Consider the following 27,343-nt stretch of genomic DNA (forward strand, 5'->3'; position numbering starts at 1 on the left):
TTATTTTTGAGACGGAGCCTCACTCTGTCGCCGAGGTTGGAGTGCAGTGGTGCGATCTTGGCTCATTGCAACCTTCGCCTCCGGGGTTCAAGTGATTATCCTGCCTCAGCCTCCCAAGTAGCTGGGACTACAGGTGCACACCACCATATCCAGCTGTTTTTTTGTATTTTTTAGTAGAGCCAGGGTTTCACCGTGTTGGTCAGAATGGTCTTCATCTCCTGACCTCGTGATCCACCCGCCTTGGCCTCCCAAAGTGCTGGGATTACAGGTGTGAGCCACTGCACCTGGCCTAAGAAAAATAATATTTATTAAACACCTATGTGTCTTTAGTATATGACAGACTTCCCAACAACGTGACAAAGAAGCTATTTCTTTTGTTATTATAGCTAAACACTTCCAGCAGAAGGAAAGTAACATCTATGCTATGCTCTATGCTTATTGAGGTTTTTGTTTTTAAAATATGGAAACGACAAATACTGTAGCATGCAGATTATTCAGTATTGGTCGTTGTTAAGTACTTATTTCTTAAATAAAAGAATAAGACCAGGCGCGGTGGCTCACACCTGTAATCCCAGCACTTTGGGAGGCCGAAGTGGGTGGATCACCTGAGTTCAGGAGTTCGAGACCAGCCTGACTAACATGGTGAAACCCTGTCTCTACTAACAGTACAAAAATTAGCCGGGCATCGTGGCAGGCATCCAAGAGACCAAGGCAGGAGAATCACTTGAACTCAGGAGGAGGAGGTTGCAGTGAGCCAAGGGCATGTCACTGCACTCCAGCTTGGGCGACAAGAGCAAAACTCCATCTCAAAAAAAAAAAAAAAAAAAAAAGAAAGAATAAAATAATACAAATGAAGCTGACATACTTTCAGTCACACTTCCCATTCCCCTCCGTACCCAAGACATTACTGCAAAATTCTTGATACCTTTTCAGTGTTTTTTTATACTTAATGCACCTATGTACAGGTCTCAATAAACAAAATGTAGGTATTTCAAGTGTTATAATGAAAACATACAAATGATATATTGCTTGTATTCTAAACTTCTTTTTTCATTCACCTTTATCCTTTAGCATAGTCTTGTCTTTTAATGGGTAAGCTTTGTCTCTTTATGTTTAAGACAAGTAGCTCACACTAGTTTTACTTCCCTCCAAATTATCTTTTTTTAAATTTATTTTTATTTTTTATTATACTTTAAGTTCTAGGGTACATGTGCACAACATGCAGGTTTGTTACATATGTATACATGTGCCATGTTGGTGTGCTGCACCCATTAACTCATCATTTACATTAGATATATCTCCTAATGCTATCCCTCTCCCCTCCCCCCGACCCCATGACAGGCCCCGGTGTGTGACGTTCCCCTTCCTGTGTCCAAGTGTTCTCATTGTTCAATTCCCACCTATGATTGAGAACATGCGGTGTTTGGTTTTTTGTCCTTGTGATAGTTTGCTGAGAATGATGGTTTCCAGCTTCATCCATGTCCCTACAAAGGACATTAACTCATCCTTTTTTATGGCTGCATAGTATTCCATGGTGCATATGTGCCACATTTTCTTAATCCAGTCTATCATTGTTGGACATTTGGGTGAGTTCCAAGTCTTTGCTATTGTGAATAGTGCCGCAATAAACATACATGTGCATGTGTCTTTATAGCAGCATGATTTATAATCCTTTGGGTATATACCCAGTAACGGGATGGCTGGGTCAAATGGTATTTCTAGTTCTAGATCCTTGAGGAATCACCACACTGTCTTCCACAATGGTTGCACTAGTTTACAGTCCCATCAACAGTGTAAAAGCATTCCTATTTCTCCACAGCCTCTGCAGCACCTGTTGTTTCCTGACTTTTTAATGTTCACCATTCTACCCAGTATGAGATGGTATCTCATTGTGGTTTTGATTTGCATTTCCCTGATGGCCAGTGATGATGAACATTTTTTCATGTGTCTATTGGCTGCATAAATGTCTTCTTTTGAGAAGTGTCTGTTCACATCCTTTGCCCACTTTTTGATGGGGTTGTTTGTTTTTTTCTTGTAAGTTTGTTTGAGTTCTTTGTAGATTCTGGATATTAGCCGTTTGTCAGATGAGTAGATTGCAAAAATTTTCTCCCATTCTGTAAGTTGCCTGTTCACTCTGATGGTCTCTTTTGCTGTGAAGAAGCTCTTTAGTTTAATGAGATCCCATTTGTCAATTTTGGCTTTTGTTGTCATTGCGTTTGGTGTTTTAGTCATGAAGTCCTTGCCCATGCCTATGTCCTGAATGGTATTGCCTGGGTTTTCTTCTAGGGTTTTTATGGTTTTAGGTCCAACATTTAAGTCTTTAATCCATCTTGAATTAATTTTTGTATAAGGTGTAAGGAAGGGATCCAGTTTCAGCTTTCTACATATGGCTAGCCAGTTTTCCCAGCACCACTTATTAAATAGAGAATCCTTTCCCCATTTCTTGTTTTTGTCAGGTTTGTCAAAGATCAGATGGTTGTAGATGTGTGGTGTTATTTCTGAGGGCTCTGTTCTGTTCCATTGGTCTATATCTCTCTTTTGGTACCAGTACCATGCTGTTTTGGTTACTGTAGCCTTGTAGTATAGTTTGAAGTCAGGTAGCGTGATGCCTCCAGCCTTGTTCTTTTGGCTTAGGATTGTCTTGGCCATGTAGGCTCTTTTTTGGTTCCATATGAACTTCAAAGTAGTTTTTTCCAATTCTGTGAAGAAAGTCATTGGTAGCTTGGTGGGGATGGCATTGGATCTATAAATTACCTTGGACAGTATGGTCATTTGCACAATATTGATTCTTCCTATCCATGAGCATGGAATGTTCTTCCATTTGTTTGTGTCCTCTTTTATTTTGTTGAGCAGTGGTTTGTAGTTCTCCTTGAAGAGGTCCTTCACATCCCTTGTAAGATGGATTCCTAGGTATTTTATTTTCTTTAAAGCAATTGTGAATGGGACTTCACTCATGATTTGGCTGTCTGTTTGTCTGTTATTGGTGTATAAGAATGCTTGTGATTTTTGCACGTTGATTTTGTATCCTGAGACTTTGCTGAAGTTGCTTATCAGCAACTTCAAAATCTCTAAGGAGATTTTGGGCTGAGACTATGGGGTTTTCTAAATATACAATCATGTCATCTGCAAACAGGGACAATAGATCAGAAAAGATAATTTGGACTTCCCTCCAAATTATCTTTTCTGATCTATTTTCCATGTCAGTGTTTAGAATTTTAGTTATAGCTTATTTTTAAAATCCCAAGTTATTTTTAAAATATCTGACTTACTGATTTACTGACACATTTTATCTATTTCTTTGCTCACTATTTCTTGTTGAATACTTCAAGATGTTTTTGTGCCATTAGACCTTTCAGTGACAGTCTTTTTTTTTTTTTTTTTTTTTTGAGACAGAGTCTTGCTCTGTTGCCCAGGCGGGAGTGCAATGTGGCACGATCTCAGCTCACTTCAACCTCCGCCTCCTGGGTTCAAGCAATTCTCCTGCCTCAAACTCCCAAGTAGCTGGGATTACAGACGTGTGCCACCACGCCTGGCTAATTTTGTGTGTGTGTGTGTGTGTTTTTTGTTGTTGTTGTTGTTGTTTTTGTTTTTGTTTTTTTTGAGATGGAGTCTCCCTCTGTCGCCCAGGCTGGAGTGCAGTGGCACGATCTCAGCTCACTGCAAGCTCCGCCTCCCAGGTTCATGCCATTCTGCCTCAGCCTCCCGAGTAGCTGGGACCACAGGTGCCCGCCACCACGCCCGGCTAATTTTTTTGTATTTTTAATAGAGACGGGGGTTTCACCATGTTAGCCAGGATGGTCTCGATCTCCTGACCTCGTGGTCCGCCCACCTTGGCCTCCCAAAGTGCTGAGATTACAGGCGTGAGCCACTGTGCCCGGCCAATGTTTTGTGTTTTTAGTAGAGATGCGGTTTCATCGTGTTGGCCAGCCTGGTCTCGAACTCCTTACCTCAGGTGATCCATCTGCTTCGGCCTACCAAAATGCTGGGATTACAGGCAGGAGCCTCCATGCCCGGCCTCGCAGTGACAGTCTTTGAACAGTAAATATTCTCAATCTTAGCAGGTCTGAAAATGTCTTCATTTTTTTACACTGGTTTTAGAAAGTTAAATTGTCTGGGTTTAGAATTCTAGGTTGCTAATTACCTTTCTTCAGCATCTTGTAGATATACCACTGTTTTGGCATCTATTGTTGCTGAAAAAGTTGAATGTCAGTTTGATTGTCTTTTCTTTGAAGGCTATGTGTTTTCTAGTAGCTTCTGAGTTTCACTAAAATGTATCTAGATGTGTATTAATATCTATTTGTTCTGTTTTGGACTCATTGTGCCCCTTTAAATTGAAAGTGCATATCTTTAGTTCTGGACATTTTTATTATCTTTTAAATATATTTCTCCTTTCCCATTCTATCTCCTTTTCGATGTCTTACAAGTTTTTCTTCTACCCTACACAAGTTAACATCTATTAAATCCTATTAAATCCTCCCTCCGTGCTGTGTTCTAGGTGATTTCCCCACTTCGTTAGTTTTCTTTCTTCCAATTCCTTAAATTTTCTCATTAATTGTGTCTAGTCCGCAGTTTAACCTGTCTAAATAAGATCTAAATAATTTTTTTTGGAGAACTATTTTAAGCTTGTTTTCAAGTTTATCTGTTCTTGTTTCATAACCTCCTGTTCTTATTTATTGATTTTAGTCTTTTGAGCATTAAAACATACTTCTTTCAGAGTTCTTTTAATCTTTCTCTCATTTCTGATTCTTTAAGTGAGAATTTTGCCATTTGTTGGTCCTTAACATTGAATTTCATTTAAAAATAAATAAATTTGTATCTGCAAGCTTATCTTCTATAGGACTTTTCTTCTGAGAGGGTTTTGTTCATGGCTTCGTTATGGATGCAACTGCTTCCTTTGGAGAAATTTTTAGATTATTTCTGCTGGGGCCTTATATGGTTTTCTGAAACTGAACCAAATATTATGTTTTGTTAAATGGGACTCCTTCACCATGCAGATAGTATGAATTGGCTCTGTATTCACATGCAGCCAAGACTCTTGTTGGATGACTTTGTTTCAACCCATGACCTGAGATGGGGAACTTGTTTCTTGCAATGACTCTGGACTAGTAGATACTGATTTTTCAGTCCTTATATTGGAACAGGGCTTTCCCAATTCTAAATGTGCCCATTTCTGCTCTTTACTATCCAATATGACTGCAGCCTCAATTCCTAATATCTATTTCCCACTTTTTTGTTTTGTTTTGTTTTGAGATGGAGTCTCGGTCTGTCGCCCAGGCTGGAGTTCAGTGATGCAGTCTTGGCTCACTGCAACCTCTCCCTCCCACATCAAGCAATTCTTCTGCCTCAGCCTCCCGAGTAGCTGGGACTACAGGCATGTGCCACCACACCTGGCTAATTTTTGTATTTTTAGTAGGGATGGGGTTTCACCATGTTGGCCAAGCTGGTCTCGAACTCCTGACCTCATGATCCTCCCGCCTCATCCTCCCAAAGTGCTGGGATTACAGGCGTGAGCCATCGTGCCCAGACTTCCCCAGCATTATTGAAACCCCCTAATTCCTAAGGCACAACGTATCCAGTCTAGGAACCTCAATGGGCCATGTGGTTTCAAGTTCTGTGGGTTCCCTCTTTATTTCTACCACCTGCAGACTTCCTTTTCTTCTTTTAGAACCTATTTTTTCTATGGGAAATAGGTAAAGAGGAATATTTACTGAGGAAATTTAAGTGAGGAAAGCAGGAATATTTCACCAGCATGTACATGTCTTTGAAGTAGGGATGGGAATATTTCCATACATGTTCAGTCTGTATCCAAAAAGAGAAGTGAGTGCTGTTGGTATTATTCACCTCCATAAGTGAAATAATGTCTGAACAATACCAACAGTACTCACGTAAATGTCATTATCACCATTTTACAGAGAAGGAAGCAGTTTCAGAGAGTTAGTTACTTTCCCTAAGTCACAGCTAGTCATTAGTGGGTCTAGAATTTAAATTCAAAGCTATATGTTAGTTTTCACTATTTTTTCTGCCTCACTGTTTTTCGTTTATTTACTCAAGAATTTACTTTTACTTTATCTTATGTCCTTTTGCCCTTGACATCAGGTTTGGACAGTATTCCAAAGAGACCTGGCCAGGCATGGTGGCTCACGCCTATAATCCCAGCACTCTGGGAGGCCAAGGTGGGAAGACCTGCTTGAGGCCAGGAGTTGAGACCAGCCTAGGCAACATAGGGAGACCTCCTTGCTACAAAAGAAACAAAGAACTAATATGCAACCTGACTAAATTTCATCTAAAAATACCTGACAATGATTGTTGCGTGATGCATATTTCTTTTAGAGACTCCCCTTATTTTCATACTATAATTACCATGGGCTTTTTTCTTTTTATTTATTTATTTATTTATTTATTTATTTATTTATTTATTTTTTTGTGGGGGACTGAGTCTCGCTCTTGTCGCCCAGGCTGGAGTGCAGTAGTGCAATCTTGGCTCACTGCAATCTCCACCTCCCGGGTTCAGATGAGTCTCCTGCCTCAGCCTCCTGAGTAGCTGGGACTACAGGCATGCACCACCATGCCCAGCTACTTTTTGTGTGTGTGTGGTATTTTTACTAGAGATGGGGTTTCACCATGTTGGCCATGCTGGTCTCGCACTCCTGACCTCAAGTGACCCACCCACCTCGGCCTCCCAAAGTGCTGGGATTACAGGTGTGAGCCACTGTGCCTGACCGAGCTTCAGTCTTTTTTTTTTTTTTTTTTGAGACGGAGTCTCACTCTGTTGCCCAGGCTGGAGTGCAGTGGCACAATCTCGGCTCATGGCACCCTCTGCCTCCCAGGTTCACACTGTTCTCTCCTGCCTCAGCCTCCTGAGTAGCTGGGACTACAGGTGCCCGCCACCACGCCGAGCTAATTTTTTGTATTTTTTTTTTTTTTTTTTTTTTAGTAGAGACAGGTTTCACCGTGTTAGCCAGGATGGTCTCGATCTCCTGACTTCTTGATCCTCCCACCTCGGCCTCCCAAAGTGCTGGGATTACAGGCGTGCGCCACCGCACCCAGCCCCAAGCTTTATTCTTAAATGCAACTTACTTCTGGGAAATAATTGCTTAAGGACTATATTGAGCCTGCTTAACTATAGCACCTTCCTTCAGCCTCTTCTCCCGAAATAGCCTCATGCTTAGTAGCATTAGGCTTGAGATTGACGGCACTTCTATGAATGGCAGACACTGTCCCAAGCTAACAGCTGTCTTTTTGACAAAATACAGAAATAGTGTTGCTGTACTGATGCAGTAGCTTACACTTGTAAACCCAGCAATTTGGGAGGCTAAGGCAGGAGGACTGCTTGAGCTCAGGAATTTGAGACCAGCCTGGGCAACATAGTACGACCTCATCTCTTCTAAAATTCAAAAAAATAGCTGGGCGTGGTGGCATGTGCCTGTAGTCTCAGCTACTTGTGAGGGTGAGGCAGGAGGATTGCTTGAGCCAGGAAGGTCAAGGTTGCAGTGAGCCCTTATTGAGCCACTGTACTCCAACCTGGCTGATAGAGTCTTTATTTAAAAAAAAAAAAAAAGTGTTGCTAGCTAACCCTCCATTCCCACCCTCCAACATGTCTGATACCAGAGACTATACTCACTCCTTTGCTATTTGCAAGTTTATTTAATAGGCTACCCCAACTGCCTTGTCCATGGATAGAATTTTCTTCATTGTATCTTGGAATGCAATGAAGTAAGCTTCTTTTAACCAATAAAAACATCTAGATTTTGTATTTTGCATAACATTGATATTCCTTTGTAGTTCATATTGGATGAAATGTCTTGAACACAAACAAGTTATCTTTTTTTTTTCTCCCCATTCCTTATGCCAGACTTTTAAAGAAAGAGTCTGCATCTAGTTCAACTTCGGCTGCTTGCTACTTCTGCTGCAAGTAGCACTTTTAGATCAAGTTCCCAGTGGCAGCACCGGTGGGGGAAGTCTGCACTTTTTTAGGATGACTGACCTCACTCCTGGAGCTGTTGGATTCCACCCTGTTTTTGGGAGTTTATGACTTTGGTTGTTATTTAATGCACTTAAATCTTCTGAGTCTCACTGAGTTTTTTGTTTTGATTTTTCAAATGTTCTTCACAACTCTTTTGTAGGAAATTTAAAATGTTACACCCAGAACTGTACAAATATTTTACTAGTGAGGTTAAACTAAATGCAACAATGGAACAAACAGATGAAAAGCACACTAAGATTTCACTTGTGTCAGTTCTGAAAACCCTAGACCTCTTACTGCAACCAAGTTGTTTCCTTTCATGCCGTTCCACTTAAAAAGGAATTTGTAGGTTTTTTTTAGTCCTCCATAGATTCTGCTGAATTCAGAAGAAATTGCATGCAATCCCTAGCTTTGTTTCAGAAGTTAATTTGTGAAAGAATGAAAGCCATTATCTTTTTCTTGATGTAGGTTGAAAATGAAATAATCTTTTGTGTGTATGAATTTGTACAAATACTTCCCATAGGAACAATGATATGCAGGGGTGTCCAATCTTTTGGCTTCCCTGGGCCACATTGGAAGAATTGTCTTGGGCACACATAACATACACTAATGATAGCTGATGAGCTTAAAAGAAAAAAAAAAAAGCAAAACCTTATAATTTTTTTTTTTTTTTTTGAGATACAGTCTCGCTGTGTCACCCAGGCTGGAGGGCAATGGTGTGATATTGGCTCACTGCAGCCTCCACCTCCTGGGTTCAAGCGATCCTCCCCCCTCAGCCTCCCTGGTAGTTGGGATTATAGGCACGTGCCACCACACCCGGCTAATTTTTGTATTTTTAGTAGAGACAGGGTCTCACCATGTTGGCCAGGCTTGTCTCGAACTTCTGACTTCAGGTGATCCGCCTGCCTTGGCCTCCGAAAGTGTTGGGATTACAGGTGTTGAGCCACTACACCCGGTCAAAATCTTATAATGTTTTAAGAAAGTTTACAAATTTATCTTGGGCCACATTCAAAGCATCTGGGCCACATGCAGACCATGGGCTGTGGGCTGGACAAGCTTGATATGGAGGAAAAGGGTAGGATACTAGATTACCCTACAAAAGCCTATTAAACCATAACTTAGCAGTACTGCTTTTATGGAAAACCCTTTCCAGTTCTAGGCATCAGAGATCACCCCCTGCCCCAAATTCACAACATATTCAAACAAATGTTGGTATGGATGATTTGACAGCAGAATTGTAACAGAGATGTCAGAGACTTATCTCCATCCCCAGGGAGTTGTATGTATGGGAGGTGGGGAGTGGTGGGAAAAGCTCCAGACCAAAGGAACGTGTCCGAAGGCTGGGGAGTGAGAGCTTGGCAAGGTGAAAAGCAACAGCTGGGAGGCAGGCTCAAACCAGGACTAGAGGAGAAGCAGGGAGAGGGTATGATGAAGCACTCAGAGCAGCAGAGGATGAGAATGACATGTTATGAACAGAAGAGAAGGAAGAAAAAGGCCACAGTAAGGAAAAGAAAATAATATTCACACATACAAACATGCTCTGCATTAATCTTACATAGAGGGATAGTGACCCGCATCCATAAAAGGTGGTCTTCCAGCCCCTCAACCTGCCATCCTGGGATACTGTAATGATCCAGGGATGTTGCCACCAGCCCTACTCTCAGGGGCTGCTGCTCTCTGAACACAGTTTTCCTTATTTATTTATTGAGTTGGAGTCTCACTCTCTCATCCAGGCTGGAGTATAGTGGTGTGATCTCGGCTCACTGCAACCTCTGCCTCCCAGGTTCAAGCAATTCTCCTGCCTCAGCCTCCCAAGTAGCTGGGATTACAGGTGCCCATCACCACACCCAGCTAATTTTTGTATTTTTAGTAGAGATAGGATTTCACCATGTTGGCCAGGCTGGTCTGAAACTCCTGGCCTCAGGTGATCCGCCCACCTCAGCCTCCCAAAGTGCTGGGATTACAGGTGTGAGCCACCACACCTGGCCTTCTGAACACAATTTTCAACCTCTCAGACATTTTAATCCCTGGGATGTTCACTCCCTTCCCTATATCTTGTCTCAGATCTGGGCTCCCATGTGGTCCACTCAGTTCAGCAATCTTGCTGCCTAGTTGGTTGGGGAAGAGTGGAGGGTCAGGGAGAGACTTCTTTGACTCAGTGCTGGCAGGAGCAAGGAGCCAAGCAGATCAGAGCTCAAGGCCAAAGCGCCAGTCTGGGACTAACTGTAGGATCCCTGGCCAAAGCCAGGGAAAAGGGGGCTTTCTCTTAAAATGGTAAGACTTGCATAAAAGATGCAAGGTTAACTAAGACCAGCCTTATCCCTTAAAGGCCTAGAGTTATGGAAAGTTCCCTGAAATGTGAACAATGCAAGTTGAGAGGCAACCCTTTATCTGGATAAGGGGCATCAGGTTTCCAATGACAAAACTAGTGCCCCTCATTTAGAAAAAGGATTTAGGTGCCACTGCGGGGTGCATGAATCCATCTGAGACAAACAATTTAGAAGCTGAATCGTGAGCCCTTTTAGTGATTTGCAGGGCTCGCGACAGAACTGTTGGTCAGACGTTGGCCAGGGTTTGGGCTGTTTCCTGGAGCACGTAGGTCTCATGGGTTTTCAGATGGGGCCAGGGCTCTTGCTCTTTATCACACCAGGCTACCAGGTGAGGATTGCTCTCAGTGGCCTGTGGTGGGTCCCAGGTGGAAGTGGCTAGGGCCCAGGGCTGTGAGGATGCAGAGGGGATACCCAGTTCATAGGATGGGTGCGCATGATGGCCTCAGGCTCCCAGTCTTAAAACTGCTCCTCTCCACTCCCGCTGCTTCACTTGACTAAAAAAAACCACCTCTGCTCAAACATGCACAACATTGTGAATGTACTTAACTCATACATTGTTCCTGAGAATGGTTAAAGTGCTACATTTTGTATTATGTATATTTTTCCATGATATATATTATGTATATTTTGTATATTATGTATATTTTGTATATTATGTATATTATGTATATTTTCCATGATATATATTATGTATATGTATATATTATGTATATATGATATATATTATGTATATATACATATATTATGTATATATATACACAAATATATATTATGTATATTTTTCCATGATAAACAGAAAAATTTTAGGGGACACACTCTACACAAAGCCATTTCAGAGGCCCCATCTTCAAGCTCTGGCATTTTGTACATATCTTTAACAGAACTGCTCACAGCAGACATTGGAAATATGGGTTTCCATGGCAATGCGCCTCTTTGAGATCATTCAGTTTTTTGTTTTTTTGTTTTTTTTGAGATGGAGTCTGGCTGTGTCGCCAGGCTGGAGTGCATTGGCCGATCTCAGCTCACTGCAGCCTCGGCCTCCCAGGTTCAAGTGATTCTCCTGCCTCAGCCTCCTGAGTAGCTGGGATTACAGGCACGTGCTGCCACACTCAGCTAATTTTTATATTTTTAGTAGAGACAGGGTTTCTCTATGTTGGCCAGGCTGGTCTTGAACTCCTGACCTCAAGTGATCCACCCACCTCAGCCTCTCAAAGTACTGAGATGATAGGGGTGAGCCACTGTGCCCAGCCCACCATATTTCTTTTCTTTTTTCTTTTTTTTTTTTTTTTTGAGACAGAGTCTTGCTCTGTCACCCAGGCTGGAGTGCAGTGGAGTGATCTCGGCTCACTGCAAACTCTGCCTCCCGGGTTCAAGCGATTCTTGTGCCTCAGCCTCCTGAGTAGCTGGGATTACAGGCACACACCACCATGTCCGGCTAGTGTTTTGTATTTTTAGTAGAGACGAGGTTTCACCATGTTGGCCAGGTTGGTCTTGAACTCCTGAGTTCAGGCAATCCACGGGCCTCGGCCTCCCAAAGTGCTGGGATTACAGGCATGAATCACCACACCCGACCCATATTTCTTTTTATTTGTTGAACACATACTACTTGGAAGGCCCCGGCTCAGCACTGAGAATCCAACAATGGGTAAAATACGGTCTCTGCTAGAGAGACCAAAACAAAGAGACAAAAACTGAGTGAACATTAAAAAATTAATTGTGGGCCGGGCGCGGTGGCTCATGCCTGTAATCCCAGCATTTTGGGAGGCCGAGGCGGGCGAATCACGAGGTCAGGAGATCGAGACCATCCTGGCTAACATGGTGAAACCCGCCTTTACTAAAAATACAAAAAATTAGCCAGGCGTGGTGGTGGGCGCCTGTAGTCCCAGCAACTCAGGAGGCTGAGGCAGGAGAATGGTGTGAACCCGGCAGGTGGAGCTTGCAGTGAGCCGAGATCGTGCCACTGCACTCCAGCCTGGGCAAAAGAGCAAGACTCTGTTAAAAAAAAAAAAAAAAAAATTACCAGTTGTGCCCAGGGTACAGGAGGAAACAAACCAAGGGGCAAGATAGAAGATAACAGAGAAAGCCTATTTCATGGGGATATGAAGAAGGTATTTTTGAAATGATGAAATACAGAAAATGGCTAGGATGAAATACAGAGAATGACTAGTAAAGCAAGGTGACTGGGGACAGGGCTTCAAGGGGCAGTGCCTTTCAGGATAAGATCCGGGGCAGGGAAAGACTGGCACAAGTGTTAGGTAACACATGAGCAATTAATAGTGAAGGACAAGTGATTCACTTGACTCTTAATCGCCTATGTTTGGCTCTGCTATGTTCTGGGGGCAAGTAATGGATAATAGCCATGGAAACAACCTTGGCACTCAACTACAAACACTGTGTAAAGTAAGTAGAAAAGAATTGCTGTTTGCTTCCATTATTTACTGTCATACACTTGTCCTTCCTAGGAAGGGGCCGTCCCAGGGCCTGATGGCTAGCTTGCACTAAGCAGGGTTTCCAACTCAGGAAGGGCAGAGTCCCCAGGTCTGCAGTTGCCATGGCAGCAGGGTATCCTGTTTTGGCTGATAGGTACTGGAGCCAGTAAGGCTGGGTCCAAATTCTGCCCCTCCCTCTTACTGGCTGGTAGTGGGACTTTAGGCATCTCTTCATACCCTTCCCCACATGTGTAAGAGTGGAACATTGTGAGGGTCAAATGAGGTAGTATTTCAAACACTTAAAAGAATACCAAGCTGGGCATGGTGACTCACGCCTGTAATCCCAGCACTTTGAGAGGCTGAGGTCAGGAGTTGGAGGCCTGAGGTTAGGAGTTCGAGACCAGCCTGGCCAACATGGCAAAACCCCGTATCTACTAAAAGTACACAAATTAGCTGGGCCTCGTGGTGGGCACCTGTAATCCCAGCTACTCAGGAGACTGAGGCAGGAGAATCACTTGAACCTGGGAGGTAGAGGTTGCAGTGAGCCGAGATTGCACCAATGCACTCCAGCCTGGGTGACAAGAATGAGACTCTGTCTCAAAAAAAAAAAAAAAAAAAAAAAAAATTGCCTGATACCTGAGATGCACTATTTAATAGATATCATTTAATTATTGTGTAAAAAAGGAACCGTGAATCCCATCACTTCTGTACTGCTTTGTTAGGCTAAAGTAAATTGTTGTATAAACTTTTTAAATATAAAAATAAGTGGAATACTTGCAGATAATTCAATAGAGCACCCAGATCACTAGCATTAAAGCCTAGGGATACTAAGTAATGTTGGAGGAAGCAGCCATGCAAGAAACCAAGTAGTCATGATTAGAGCATTTGCTACTTCTAAGGCAAAGTCATTTGTGGCAGGCATGCTAGTTGCCAACCTAAAACCCATTCTCCCCACCTTTTTAAAAATTAACATACTCCTGATTTTGTTTGGGGCAGTCACATGCCCAGGTAACAGACTTCCCCACACTTTCTTGTAGCTGGGAGTGAGATTTGAACCAATTTTGGCCAGCTGCAGCAGTTACTGAGTGGAACATATTCGAAAACATTTCAAAAGAAGCAGATTTGGGTGGAAGCTGCCTTTTGCTCTTCTTTTTTTTTTTTTTTTGAGACAAGGTCTCACTCTGTTGCCCAGGCTGGAGTGCAGTGGTGCAATCTCAGCTCACTGCAACCTCTGCCTCCCAGGTTCAAGCAATTCTCCCACCTCAGCCTCCCAAGTAGCTGGGACTACAGGTATGCACCACCATGCCCGGCTAATTTTTTGTATTTTTAGTAGAGATGGGGTTTCACCATGTTGGCCAGGCTGGTCTCCAACTCCTGACCTCAGGTGATCCTCCCGCCTCAGCCTCCCAAAGTGCTGGGATTACAGGCATGAGCCACCGCGCCTGGCCTTTGCTCTTCCCTTTTAATCCTAACTAGAATGGGTATGTCAGACGCCTGGAAATGCAACAGCCTTCTTGAGACCATGCGGATGAAAATTTTATGCAAAGGAGGGCAGAGCGGGAAAACTGAAGGAGCACCAGTGCTTGGCTTATTACCTCTGGACTTAAATGAGAAAAGATAAATTGCTATTTGATTGACCTTCCATAGCTGGAGTACAGTTACATGCACTCTAACTCAGTTCCAACAAAAAGGGTCAAAGTGGTTTTCACTGTTGACCAAGACAACTGTTTCTTCAGCCAGTCGAAGGCAAAACTGATGATGTAACAATGGCTATTGGGTTGGGTGTTCTCATTGCCCTTCAGCTCCCACTGAATCTAGGTTGTAACGGTGGTAAAACTATAAAGTACACCAAGAGAAAGGCATTCTTCCGATCAAGATGCTTTTATTAGAATACTAATAAATGCAGATTAAAAAAAAAAAAACCTCACACAGAAAAAGAGGAGAACACTCAGAAATGTGATTACAGATTAGGCATATTAGAGGAAAAAGAGTTCTTCAGGGTATACAAAATGTAAACATTTGCCCTGGGATTTCCCACAGATGGCACAGTCCACATGGACTCTTTTGGAACAAAAAAATGTCTATTAAGTCTCCAGGATAGCCTCTATGACATCTGCAAACTTGCCACATTAAAAGTTAAAGTTCCTAAAACTTTCTACGCAAAACACAAAATGGCTCCCAATCCAGGCAACTGGCACATGTGGAAGCAGAATACCAAAGCAAATCCGTCTTCCAACCATCAGCTTCGACTCCCTCCAGCTACTGTATTTACATTTACCTTGACAGAGATTACAGAGATATACACAGTATATAAAACTCCTACTTGAGGCTGGGGTGGGAGATGAAATCTTTCTTGCTTATCAAATGCTCTGGGGAGAGGCATCAAATCAGTCCTTTAAACTTAGGGACAGAGGACTAAGAAGACGCCCTCTTTTGTTCAGAAAATGGAGACTCATAAACTTCCATGGGTGGGCAGGTACAAACCAGGTGCTGATCTCCATATATGTCATCAATCCGGGCAATCGTTGGCCAGAATTTGTTCTCTGGTTTCACGAAGGGCTGCAAAGGACAAAAGATGGAAATGCTGTGAGATGTTCTGGGAGGTTTCTCTTAGGGCAAAGGAGGTGGCAATGCTAGTCCCACAACCTAAGACACCATCAGCCCAGCAAATATTCTGAGAACCTAAAATCCAACCCTACATTACCATTTAAAAAAAAGAGGCATTTCCCAGGAGGCGTGTCCCTGATCACCACCCCTGTTAAGCATCCCTATGTGCTGTTGATATCTGGACCAGTTTATAGCAAAGTTGTGTTTGAAAGACTTCAACTGCTTAAAGAAGACTTTGGAATCTATGTTTATCTGCCCATTATATCCTTAAGTTTGGATATTTAGCTGACCTTCTCTTTTAACATAGGTCTAATTTATTTGCTATGTCATTTTCCATACAATTCAGTTGATTTAAAAGTTAATTTCTCGGCTGGGCGCAGTGGCTCGTGCCTTTAATCCCAGAACTTTGGGAGGCCAAGGCAGGCAGATCAGCTGAGGTCAGAGGTTCGAGACCAGCCTGATCGACATGGAGAAACCCCATCTCTACTAAAAATGCAAAATTAGCCAGGCATGGTGGCACATGCCTGTAATCCCAGTTACTTGGGAGGCTAAGGTAGGAGAATCGCTTTAACCTGGGAGGCAGAGGTTGTGGTGAGCCGAGATGGTGCCATTGCACTCCAGCCTGGACAACAAGAGTAAAACTCTATCTCAAAAAAAAAAAAAAGTTAATTTCTCATACTGTGTATTAAAATAAAAATTTGAACGATTAAAAAAAAAGCATCAGCTGGGCGTGATGGCTCACGCCTGTAATCCCAGCACTTTGGGAGGCCGGGGTGGGCGGATCACGAGTTCAGGAGATCAAGACCTTCCTGGCTAACACAGTGAAACCCCGTCTCTACTAAAAATACAAAAAATTACCCGGGCATGGTGGCAGGCGCCTGTAGTCCCAGCGGGAGGCTGAGGTAGGAGAATGGCGTGAACCCAGGATCATGCCACTGCACTCCAGCCTGGGCAACAGAGCGAGACTCCGTCTCAAAAAAAAAAAAAAAAAAAGAAAGAAAAAAAAAGCATCATTTTGTTTCCTCTCCTCTCCAATGAATACAGGATTTACCATTCTCATTATGTTTTTATACTATTACTGCATAGATCCATAAACAGCACATAGCATAATTTGGCACATTTTTAGCCTTCTCCCTACCTCACTCAAACAGACTACACAGAACCTTCTCCTCCATATAAGAATCAGAAAGGAAAGGAAGGTTGCACTGGGCGCCATCTCCCTGTCCCACAGTGGAGGGAAACACATTGGTCCACTGGGCAGGACTCGTATTCAGTTTTCCCCCACTCTGTTCCCTATGGGTTCCCAGATCTGTGGTTGATACTGTGTGACCTCGCCTCTGAAAGCCAATTTCTTTGCTCCTCATTCCTCTTCAAGACCCTTATTTCACAAGGTGCCCCACATATGGTTTCTGTAATCATGAGGCTAAGAGCGTACACCCGTCAGGATAGGAGCTGGCCCATGCCTTCCCAGCTGGCACATTCAGATTCAGAGAACTTACGAGTGGGAATGCTGCCACCTCTCTGGAATAAGGCCGGTCCCAGTGGGAAGATGTAACGCAGGTCAGGGAGTGTGGAGACATCTGAGACAGAGACACGGACAGAGGAGGGGTCAGAGCAATACACTCTCTTCTCCTCCTACCCTGCACCTCAACCGTCAATCTTCTGACAGGAGCCCAGGCAGAGAAAGCTGTTGTTTTCTTTCAATTTAGGGGGGTACAATGTGATTTATAATTGTGAAATATTTTAAATATCAGAACGTTATGGTAATAATCATCACATCCACCACCCAGTAAAGTCTAATGAGCATTCTGTCATATTTGCTTCATCTTTTAGAAAAAATTACCTACACGTTTGGTGCTGCCTGTATATCCCCATCCCAGTGCTAACCACTCTTCTGAATTCGGTGTTTACCATTCTCATCATGCTTTTATACTATTACTGCATATGTTAATAAACTGCATATAGCATAATTTGGCTCATTTTAAAATCTGATATCATCATATGAGTGGTATTATCCACTTGTATTATAACTCACTATTATGCTCTTTGAAATGTTTATTGCCATTTAAAAAAATAGCCTAAATCCTGAAAGAAGCAGGTGTCTTCAGAGAGAAAAGAGTAATAAACGGTGGTAAGCATAATCATCTTGTATGCCTCCATGACTCTGTGAACTCACCTCTAGAGAGGTGCCTGCCTTCTGCAAGTCACTGGTCCCTGCCCTCTCCTACAGGTAGGCAGTTTGGAAACCTGCCCCAGCTGCTGCAGTCATATCAGACTTGTTCTCTGGCTTACAGCCATGAAGACACAACCACAGCCTTCATGGTATTCTCCACTCCTGATCTTCCAGCTTAATATCTGGACTAACAAGAAACTTAGGACTCTGACCAGATGTAAAATTAACATGTTTTGGAAGCGGCAGAGTAATGCCCAACCAACTTTTCCCCAACATGGGGCATAAACATTGTAACATCCAGTCCAAATGTCAATCCAGTTTTCTCAGAGATAACTGCTCTAATATAAGAATGTGTGCTTGTACAGAGTTTGTGATGTGAATATGTAAATTTTATTTATGCCATAATCTCACTACAGTACATCAAACAGAGATGCAGAATGTTACAAATTCTCCAACTAGACAGCTGTGGACAGCTTCCACAACCACATCATCCTTGAGTAACTGCTATGCTGTTCAAGACGATGGAAACTTCAAAGTAACAACTGCATCTTCTCAGAAGAATTACCTTATTCTAGGGAAGAGTATCATCCTCAGTTGAGAGTTCGGGAGTTGCTGGTACACTGTCCAGACATCATTTTCTAGTTTAAGGAACATTTCAAGCAATGTTCCAGGGCCTACGCACCTTCAGCGGATTGACCCTGGGGTCGATGCGGCCCTCCTCAATGTCAGCAATTTCCTGCCGAATGCTGATCATGGCATCACAGAATCTGTCCAGCTCTGCCTTGTCCTCCGACTCAGTGGGCTCCACCATGAGGGTCCCTGCCACAGGCCAGGACATGGTAGGGGCGTGAAATCCTGCAAAGGGAGACAGGAGAACTTGCCTCACTGAAGGTCAGTGGCCTACCCAGTTTGGAAGAAAAGTTCGTATCCCTTCTTATATTTTATCCTAAGAAAATCATCAGATACATTTGCAAATGTATGTATGTGGGGACTCATCTCAGTGCTGTTCATAGAAGAAAAATTTAGGAAACAACCTAATATCCAACAATGGGGGATCAGATAAGCAAATTTTACAGAGCACCTATATGGTAAATAGACAACCATTCAAAAGTACATAAATGTGTTAAACTGGCTAAACATTCAAAAATATTAAGTGAAAAAAGCAAGCCACATAATGATATCCCATTTCTATATATAAATAAAAGGACAAAGTACTTATATGTGTATTTTATGAGGGAAGATGCCTTGAAGAAAACATAAAATGTTAACTCTAAATATGGCCGGAAAATGAGACTGGGATTTTTCTTTCACTTCGATTGTATTTTAGAGTCTTTCAGTAATTATCATGTATTATGTGCAATTAAGAGAAATAAAAATATTATAGCTTATCAAAAGTTAAATAATGAGATAACAAGTGTTAAAGACTCTGGAGCAAATCTTATTGTCCCCATTTTGTATGATAAGGAAACTGAAGTTTGGCCAGTATGTGGAAAGCCTTTGCCTTTACATTGAACACAGGCTCAGTGTGTTTCTGTTTCCAAAGGTTTTCACATGTAAGGTAGTGCAACAAGGTATGTAGTCAAGAGACAGATTTCCAGGACAAAAATCAAAAACAACATTTTCATTTCTTATAATTTTTCTGTAAAGCATTTTTTTTTTTTTTTTTGGAGACAGGGTCTTGCTGTATCGCTCAGGTTAGAGTGCACTGGCACACTCACGGCTCACTGCAGCCTCAACCTCCTGGGCTCAAGTGATCCTCCCACCTAAGCCTTCCAAGTAGCTGAGACTACAGGTGCACGCCACCATGCCCAGCTAATTTTGTTGTTGTTGCATAGACAGAGTTTCACCATGTTGTCCGGGCTACCGAGCTCAAGCGATCTGCCTGTCTCTGCCTCCCAATATGCAGAGATAACAGGCATGAGCCACCACACCAGGCCTATGAAACTTTTAAAAGCTGAAGAACAACTCCCAGGTTGATACACCTCTGAACTAATCTTGCCCCAATGTGCAGTGGTTCTCAAATTCTGGTGAGCATCATTATTACATGGAGTACTTTAAAGTAACATCTGCATGATTTCAAACATTCTCTACCAACATTTTATTTAAAAATGTTCAGGCCAAGTGCTGTGGCTCACACACCTATAATCCCAGCACTTTGGGAGGCCAAGGCCAGCGGATTGCTTAAGCCCAGGAGTTTGAGACCTGCCTGGGCAACATGGCAAAACCCCGTCTCTACAAAAAATACAAAAATTAGCTGGGTGTGGTGGTATGTGCCTGTAATCCCAGCTACTTAGAAAGCTGAGGTGGGAGGATCACTTGAATCCAGGAGGTGAGCCTGCAGTAAGTCAAGATCACAACACTGCACTCCAGCCTGGGTGACAGAGTAAGACCTTGTCTCTATTAAAAAAAAAACACTAACATCCAGATGAGTTGAAAGGACTGTAGGTGAGCACCCATATACCCACCACCTAGATTCTACAATGCTGTTGTTTGCTTTATCACATCTACTCATCCAGCCATCCGTCTTACTTTCTGACGCATTTCAAAGTACACTGCAGTCATTAGTACACTTCACTCTTAAACCCTTCAGCATATATATCATGACTAGAATTCAGTATCTGTTCACATATTTTTGTGATAAAACTTACAGTGAAATGCACAAATCCTAACTGTACCATTTAATGAGTTTTGGTAAATGCATACACCTTTGTCACTCAAACCAGACAGGGATTTTTTTTTTTTTTAAGAGAACAAGCTGATTACCTATCACGTCTGCCCTTAATTCCATGTGTGAGCAAATTCAGTCCAACATATCCTGCTGTAGTGGTCCCCATATTTTGAACCACCTGAGAAGTTCTTGCAAAAGAAATTCCTGCATCTGGGCCCTGATTCAGGAAGTCCAAGGTAGGGTCCAAAAATCTATGAGTCATAAAACATGCCAGGTGATTCTGATAATTGGTCTGATAATTAGCCTGGAACTGCTGGGTAAGGCAGTATGCCCCAAAATTGCCTGAAAAGACTCACACAGAAGCTGCGTGTTAAATATACAGATTATCAGCTCTCTTCCTTAAAAATTCACATTCAGCGGTTATGCTTTAAGACCTGGAAACTGTGTTGTCATGTTCATTGTTTTTCGACTTAGCTATTCATTTGGTCTCTCATTTATTAACACTATGTGTTGAGTGCCTACTATGTGCCAGGCACCTGGACAATTCTGGGCTTTTGGACAAGTGTGGAAACGGTTCTATCAATCTTCAAAACAACATTGAGGTCAGGAGACAACATGATTCAGAAACACTGGGTGGTGACTTCAGTTACCACCTCCCTGTGAGCCCCTCCTCTCTCTCCTTGCAAATGCTGTTGCAGTTAGATGTGTGAAGTAGGCAAGGCATCCACAAAGTGAGTGTGTTTTCCTGAGTCGGCCATTACCCAATCGCTAGCCGGGAGGCTGTCAGGGGAAAGGAGTTCTACTGTCAGGTTACAAGAGTTGCCAAGCAGAGATCTTGAGGATGGGATTGGTAATTTCATTAATGAAGCCTTTCTCTGGCTTTCCCATCTATTATCAGTGTAACTGCATAATAAGATCATTCATTCAAGAGAGGAGTGAGTCACACACATGGGATTCCCATTATGATGCAGTAGTGAAACTATTAAATTTAAAAGATTTTTTTCTTTTTTTCCAAAAACAAGTCATTAAAACTCAGAGAGGACTCCATATCCATTGAATGGCAATGTTCTCCCCAACTTAGCCTTTCTGAGAATTGAAAGATCCTTGATATTATTATCATTTTCATATTATTATAATAGTAATATTGGCTGGGCGTGCTGGCTCACACCTGTAATCCCAGCACTTTCGGAGGCCGAGGTGGGTGGATTGCCTGAGCTCAGGAGACTGAGACCAGCCTGGCCAACATGGTGAAACCCCATCTCTACTAAAAATATAAAAAAATAGCTGGGTATGGTGGTGTGCACCTGTAGTCCCAGCTACGTGGGAGGCTGAGGCATGAGAATCACTTGAACCCAGGAGGTGGAGGTTGCAGTGAGCTGAGATCACATCACTGCACTCCAGCCTGGGCGACAAAGTGAGACTCTGTCTCCCCAACCCCCAAAAAAGTAATATGGTCTTAATATTTTAATATTAATAACATTGTTCACTAGGAAAATGTAGTGAGCTGAGCTGAATGAACACCCACTAATGCACAGGTAAAGTGTCCGTGTCTTTCAAAATGCTTCAAAGAAAGTTGCATTTTCTTTGTGAAAACTACTACACTTATTTCTTCATCTCTAGAAGCAGCTGAAACAGCTACGCCATGACAGAGGTGGCTATAAAACTCCAATGCCATTTGTCTCTACCACTTCGATGGGTTACTTGCTCTGTCTCCTTTACCACTACACTCACTGCAACTCAAAGGGGTTTTAATTTTAATCTTAAACACTTTTCTTGGCTGTTAATGGATTCAAGATGCATATTTTAATATCTTCTGAAGGGCAGGACCAGTGCAGTCATAAGCAAACTTTTTTCTCTATTATTTTGGAGGTTGCCAAGAACCCTGAGCTCCCCATTTATCCCCCAGATCAGTTTACTGTGGTGCCTGCATTTTCCATTTGTGCTTTAGGAAGTGGTCCACAGCCAGCATGGGCGGCGGCATGAATGTCAAAAGCCACTTACCATAATCCTGGAGTCTCTTGGCCACATCCACAGCCTCAATATTTGCAGACTTTTTGAAGGGTCTCGTGTCCAAAATAAATTCATGACCCACATAACCTGTTCAGGAAAGTTGTTTCAGCCCAAGATTAGCATCAGCTTATTGTTTTACCCAAACAAATGAATAAGTAATTTAATAAATAAGTGCATCAGCTTTTTATGTGTATCAGCGAGGACCAAGAAGCCATGGGCACCGGGTAAGTTTATTATTGGCAATAAAGGTTTCATTTAGTCTTATTACAAATAAAAATGTTTAGCACACTGTGCCGATGTGTCTTATCTTCAGCTCACTACACACCTGTGAACCTGATTATGGCTAATGGCAGGTGGGGGGCATTACTGAACATATGACCGGAGGTGTCTGGGGATGAGATTATTTCTATTCTGCGGACATAAAATCTACTTGCAACAGTTAAATGTGTTGTATAGTCCTGATCCTTTTATACAAAATATTTCTAGAGCCATTGACACTTTTCAGCAACTTTACCCTCAACATCAAATAATTACTTTTGCGTATATATAGGTATGGATATATTAAACATATATCCATAAGACACATACAGAATTTTATGTTTCTTTGAAGGACCTTTTGATGTTTTGGTTTCAGGCTGCAAACAAAGAATTAGAAATACGCGACGTCAAACAGTATACCGTAAGTAACAAGGAGTTAATGAGGCCAAAGTCTGTGCGACCCAGTTCACTTTGTTCTACCAATGACATATCCCTTATTTGAAATTACAGATCTTTATTTGAGCCTCATGTGGGCACCCAAAAGTTTTGGATTTTCAGGCCAGGCACAGTGACTCATGCTGGTAATCCCAGCACTTTGGGAGGCTGAGGTGGGCAGATCGTTTTAGATCAGGAGTTCCAGACCAGCCAGGGCAACATGGCCAAACCCTAGCCCTACTAAAAATAGAATCACCTGAGCCTGGGAAGTCGAGGCTGCAGTGAGCCGCGATCACACAACTGCACTCCAGCCTGGGTAATAGGGGCAAGACCCTGTCTCAAAAAAATAAATATAAATTTTTAGAAAAAGTTTTAGATTTTCAGATTAGGGATATTCGACCTGTAGTTCATAAACAGGCTTCTTCTCTAGGTCCAGGCTGCCAGTAGCTCCCCAGAATGAGCTACTGACCACACAACCATCATCAGGAATAAACCATTAAGTCAGCGTTTTAATAAATAGACCAATATTCCTCCGGGGCTTCCCAAATTCCACGGTCCACCAACTGATGAATTTCCTTCCAGGAAAGTATCTACTCATGAGATAATGATGTACTCCTTCTTCTTAACCCACTTTCCTCACTCTCAGCAAAAATGAATCCACTTATAGAGACTCAGAGCAAGCATAACTTCTCAAGCCTGTGAAGAATAGCTCCAGTAATTAATAGCCCCTGAAGACAGTCTACGAACTGCTCTGCTTCTTATAGAATGAATAAACATGAAAGAGGTGGAGCTGGGCTCATTGGCTCACACCTGTAATCCCAGCACGTTGGGAGGCTGAGGCAGGCAAATCACTTGAGGTCAGGAGTTCAAAACCAGCCTGGCCGACATGGTGAAACCCTGTCTCTACGAAAAAAAAATTACAAAAATTAGCCAGGTGTAGGGGCGGGTGCCTGTAGTTCCAGCTACTCGGGAGACTGAGTGAGAGAATTGCTTGAACCTGGAAGGTGGTGGTTGCAGTGAGCCGAGATGGCACCACTGCACTGCAGCCTGGGAGACAAAGCGAGACTTCATCTCAAAAAAAAAAAAGAAGTGGTTTTGTTTGAAAATAAAACTATAAAGAGCGTAAGACTCTGAATATACTGAAACTGCATATTTTTAAACCACGCTTGAAGAAAAAAAAAAAAAACTTCAAAAACATTGAAATAGGGGCCAGGCGCGGTGGCTCAAGCCTGTAATCCCAGCACTTTGCGAGGCCGAGGCGGGCGGATCACGAGGTCCAGAGATCAAGACCATCCTGGCCAACGTGGTGAAACCCCATCTCTACTAAAAATACAAAAATTAGCTGGGCGTGGTGGCGCATGCCTGTAGTCCCAGCTACTTGGGAGGCTTAGACAGGAGAATTGCTTGAACCCGGGAGTCGGAGGTTGCAGTGAGCGAAGATCATGCCACTGCACTCCAGCCTGGTGACAGAGCAAGACTCTGTCTCAAGGAAAAAAGAAATTGAGACACAGTTGAGCGCTCCGTCACTCAGGCTGGAGTGCAGTAGTGCCATAACAGCTCACTGCAGCCTTGACCTCCTGGGCCCAAGCAATCCTCTCAGTTCAGCCTCCTGAGAGTAGCTGGGACTACAGGTGTGCACCACATGCCCAGCTAATTTTTGTATTTTTTGTAGAGATGGGGTCTCACTATGGCTAGGCTGGTCTCAAACTCCTGGGCTCAAGTGATCCCCCCACCTCAGCCTCCCAAAGTGCTGGGATTACAGGCCGTGAGCCACTGCGCCCAGGCAAAACATGCTTTCTAACAATGATGGGGAATAAACTGTAAGGAGTATGATTCAAAAGCAGAAAATTCAGCCGGGCATGGTAGCTCACACTTGTAATCCCAGCATTTCAGGAGACCGAGGCAGGAAGATCGCTTGAGCCCAGGAGTTTGAGACCAGCCTGGGCAGCATAGTGAGAGCTTGTTTCTACAAAAAAACAAAAAATTAGCTAGGTGCAGTTGTGCCTGCCTGTAGTACCAGCTACGTGTAAGGCTGAGGTGGGAGAATCATTTGAGCCCAGGAGGTCAAGGCTGCAGTGAGCCGAGATCACATCACTGCATTCCAGCCTGGGTGACGGAGTGAGACCTTTTCTCAAAAAAAAAAAAAAAAAAAAAAAAGAGGTAGAAAATCCTATTCATGGGTAGGTAAACATAGGGAAAAAATGCTGAAACAGAATAGTAAGTGGAATGTTCAAGGGGAAAATCATTAGACTAAGTTTTTATCAACTATTAATACCAGGACTCTTAAATGCTCAGCTGAGGATTGCTTGAGCTTGGGAGTTGGAGACCAGCCTGGGCAACAAAGCAAGACCCTATCCTACAAAATATTTAAAAATTAGCCAGGTGTGTGGCAGACATCTGTAGTTCCAGCTACTTGGGAGGCTGAGGTGGGAGAATCGCTTGATCCCAGGAGGTTGAGGCTGCAATGAGCTATGATAATGTGACTGTACTCCAGCCTGGGTAATAAAGCAAGACCGTCTCTTAAACAAAACAAAATGCCCTGATTGTGACAATGATTGGAGGACGAAGGCTAATGGAAGCTCACTGCTCGGAATGACACCAGACAGCAGGGAGGGGAGGAGGGGAGAGACACAGTGGGGGAGGAGGCACTCTTGCTGGCAGCGCAAGAGGAGAGTCTTCCAAGCAGAGGTTCAGTAATAGCTGAAAGGCACCGTCAAGCCAAGCCCAACACAGCACTGCTAATACTACAGTGCCATCTGAAGAGGTCCCCACCATAGCCAAGAGGTTTAGGAAGAGCTCCATTTTCTAAATGAGGTTCAGATGTTATTTTCTAAATCCATACTCTATTGCGTTCAAATAGAAACTGCGGTGGAATTCCAGCATCTCTCTCCATCTCTATGTGAGCCCTGAAAGGGATGAAATTTCAACTTGGTGGCTGTCAGAAGCCAGATCCTAAGATGTTCTTTGCAGCTTTTAGGACACACAAACCTGCTATAGGGCAATGTTGGGGCGATATCAAGTGGAAACTGAATAAACCACTCAGCACCAACTTTTCGTGTTAACAGAGTAGGTGTTTCTGCTGGACCTAACAGTGACTACAGCTGAGAAGGTACCACGTGAAAGGGGCAAGGAGGACAGGAGGGGGGGGGATGAAGGAAAAGCAAGGTAAACGTTGGGTGGCTATCTAAGTGGGAACCACCGCCCCCATATGTTGATTGTCTTCTGAGGGTAAGAACAATATGGGAGTGTGCTGTGAAAAAATAGGGCTGCTCAAAACCCTCCTTGAGAGAAGGGACCAGACCTTACTTATCCCCCATCCTCAAGGCGGCTGCTGAGGAATAAATGAACTCACTGGGTAACTACTCTGGAAAGCTCTGCTGGGCAATCAATGCTTGGTCAAGCCTTTTAGCTGAAATCCACAGAACATGACTAACAGAATCAAACCTCCCGGCTGTTTCCCTGTAGTTCAAGCGAGAATGAGGTTTCCCCGAGAATGAGGTCAGGTAAGCGGGACTGAGCAGGGTCACTTGTGAGCCAAGGATGTGAGGGCCCAGCCCCTGAGGCCCCTGCCCACCCATACAGCAAGGGCCACCTGGAAACCTCCGCAGGGACAGGTATTTGCAGGCAAAGTCGCTGTTTGTCTGATGGAAAAACAAAAAAAAAGGCAGAAGACCTGAGGTCAAGATTTCAAGATAAGCCTAGCCAACATGGCGAAACCTCGTCTATACTGAAAATACAAAAATCAGCCGAGTGCAGTGGCGGGCACCTGTAATCATAGTGGGAGGCTGAGGCAGGAGAATTGCTTGAGCCGGGGAGGCGGGGGTTGCAGTGAGCCGAGATTGCACCACTGGACTCTAGCCTGGGTGACAGAGCAAGACTCTGTCTCAAAAAAAAAAAAAAAAAAAATGGATAGGCATATAAGAAATTAAAACATAAAGAAAACGTTGGGATACTAACAAAGTCATCTCCTCCTACTAATGGGAACTCCATTCAGATCAAACCTTTGCCTCCTATAAAAGTAGACAGCTGTGGATTTTTGCAATTCTTCCTTTAAAATGTATCAACTTGCCGGGGCAATGGCTCACACCTGTAATCCCAGCACTTTGGGAGGCCAAGGTGGGTGGATCACCTGAGGTCGGTAGTTTGAGACCAGCCTGACCAACAAGGAGAAACACTGTCTCTACTAAAAATACAAAGTTAGCCAGGCATGGTGGTGCATGCCTGTAATCCCAGCTACTCAGGAGGCTGAGGTGGGAGAATCGCTTGAACCCGGGAGGCAGAGGTTGAGGTGAGCTGAGATTGCGCCATTGCAATCCAGTCTGGGTAACAAGAGCGAAACTCTGTCTCAAAAAAAAGAAAAAAAAAAAAGTATCATCTTACCTGAGGTAATTCCTTTCTTTCCTCATTCTAGCAGAATACAGTCATGCATCACTTAATGAAGGGAATACGTTCTGAGAAGTGCATTGTGAG

At 43.2% G+C, this 27,343-nt stretch overlaps 1 protein-coding gene and 1 pseudogene across 1 annotated transcript in view; one reads left to right on the forward strand and one right to left on the reverse strand.

Annotated features, from left to right (window-relative positions):
- Window positions 14,588-27,343, reverse strand: part of GLDC (glycine decarboxylase) — a 113,263-nt gene continuing 100,507 nt past the window's right edge. The window contains exons 22-25 of the mRNA NM_000170.3: window positions 22,172-22,267; window positions 18,185-18,357; window positions 16,829-16,909; window positions 14,588-15,281 (exon numbers count right to left, since the gene is read on the reverse strand). Of these exons, the coding sequence (NP_000161.2) occupies window positions 15,138-15,281; window positions 16,829-16,909; window positions 18,185-18,357; window positions 22,172-22,267 (494 nt within the window). The 3' untranslated portion in view covers window positions 14,588-15,137. The remainder of the gene's footprint in view (window positions 15,282-16,828; window positions 16,910-18,184; window positions 18,358-22,171; window positions 22,268-27,343) is intronic.
- On the forward strand, window positions 24,215-24,474 carry RN7SL25P (RNA, 7SL, cytoplasmic 25, pseudogene; annotated as a pseudogene).

Source organism: Homo sapiens, chromosome 9 (assembly GCF_000001405.40).
Source record: "Homo sapiens chromosome 9, GRCh38.p14 Primary Assembly".
Taxonomy (NCBI): domain Eukaryota; kingdom Metazoa; phylum Chordata; class Mammalia; order Primates; family Hominidae; genus Homo; species Homo sapiens.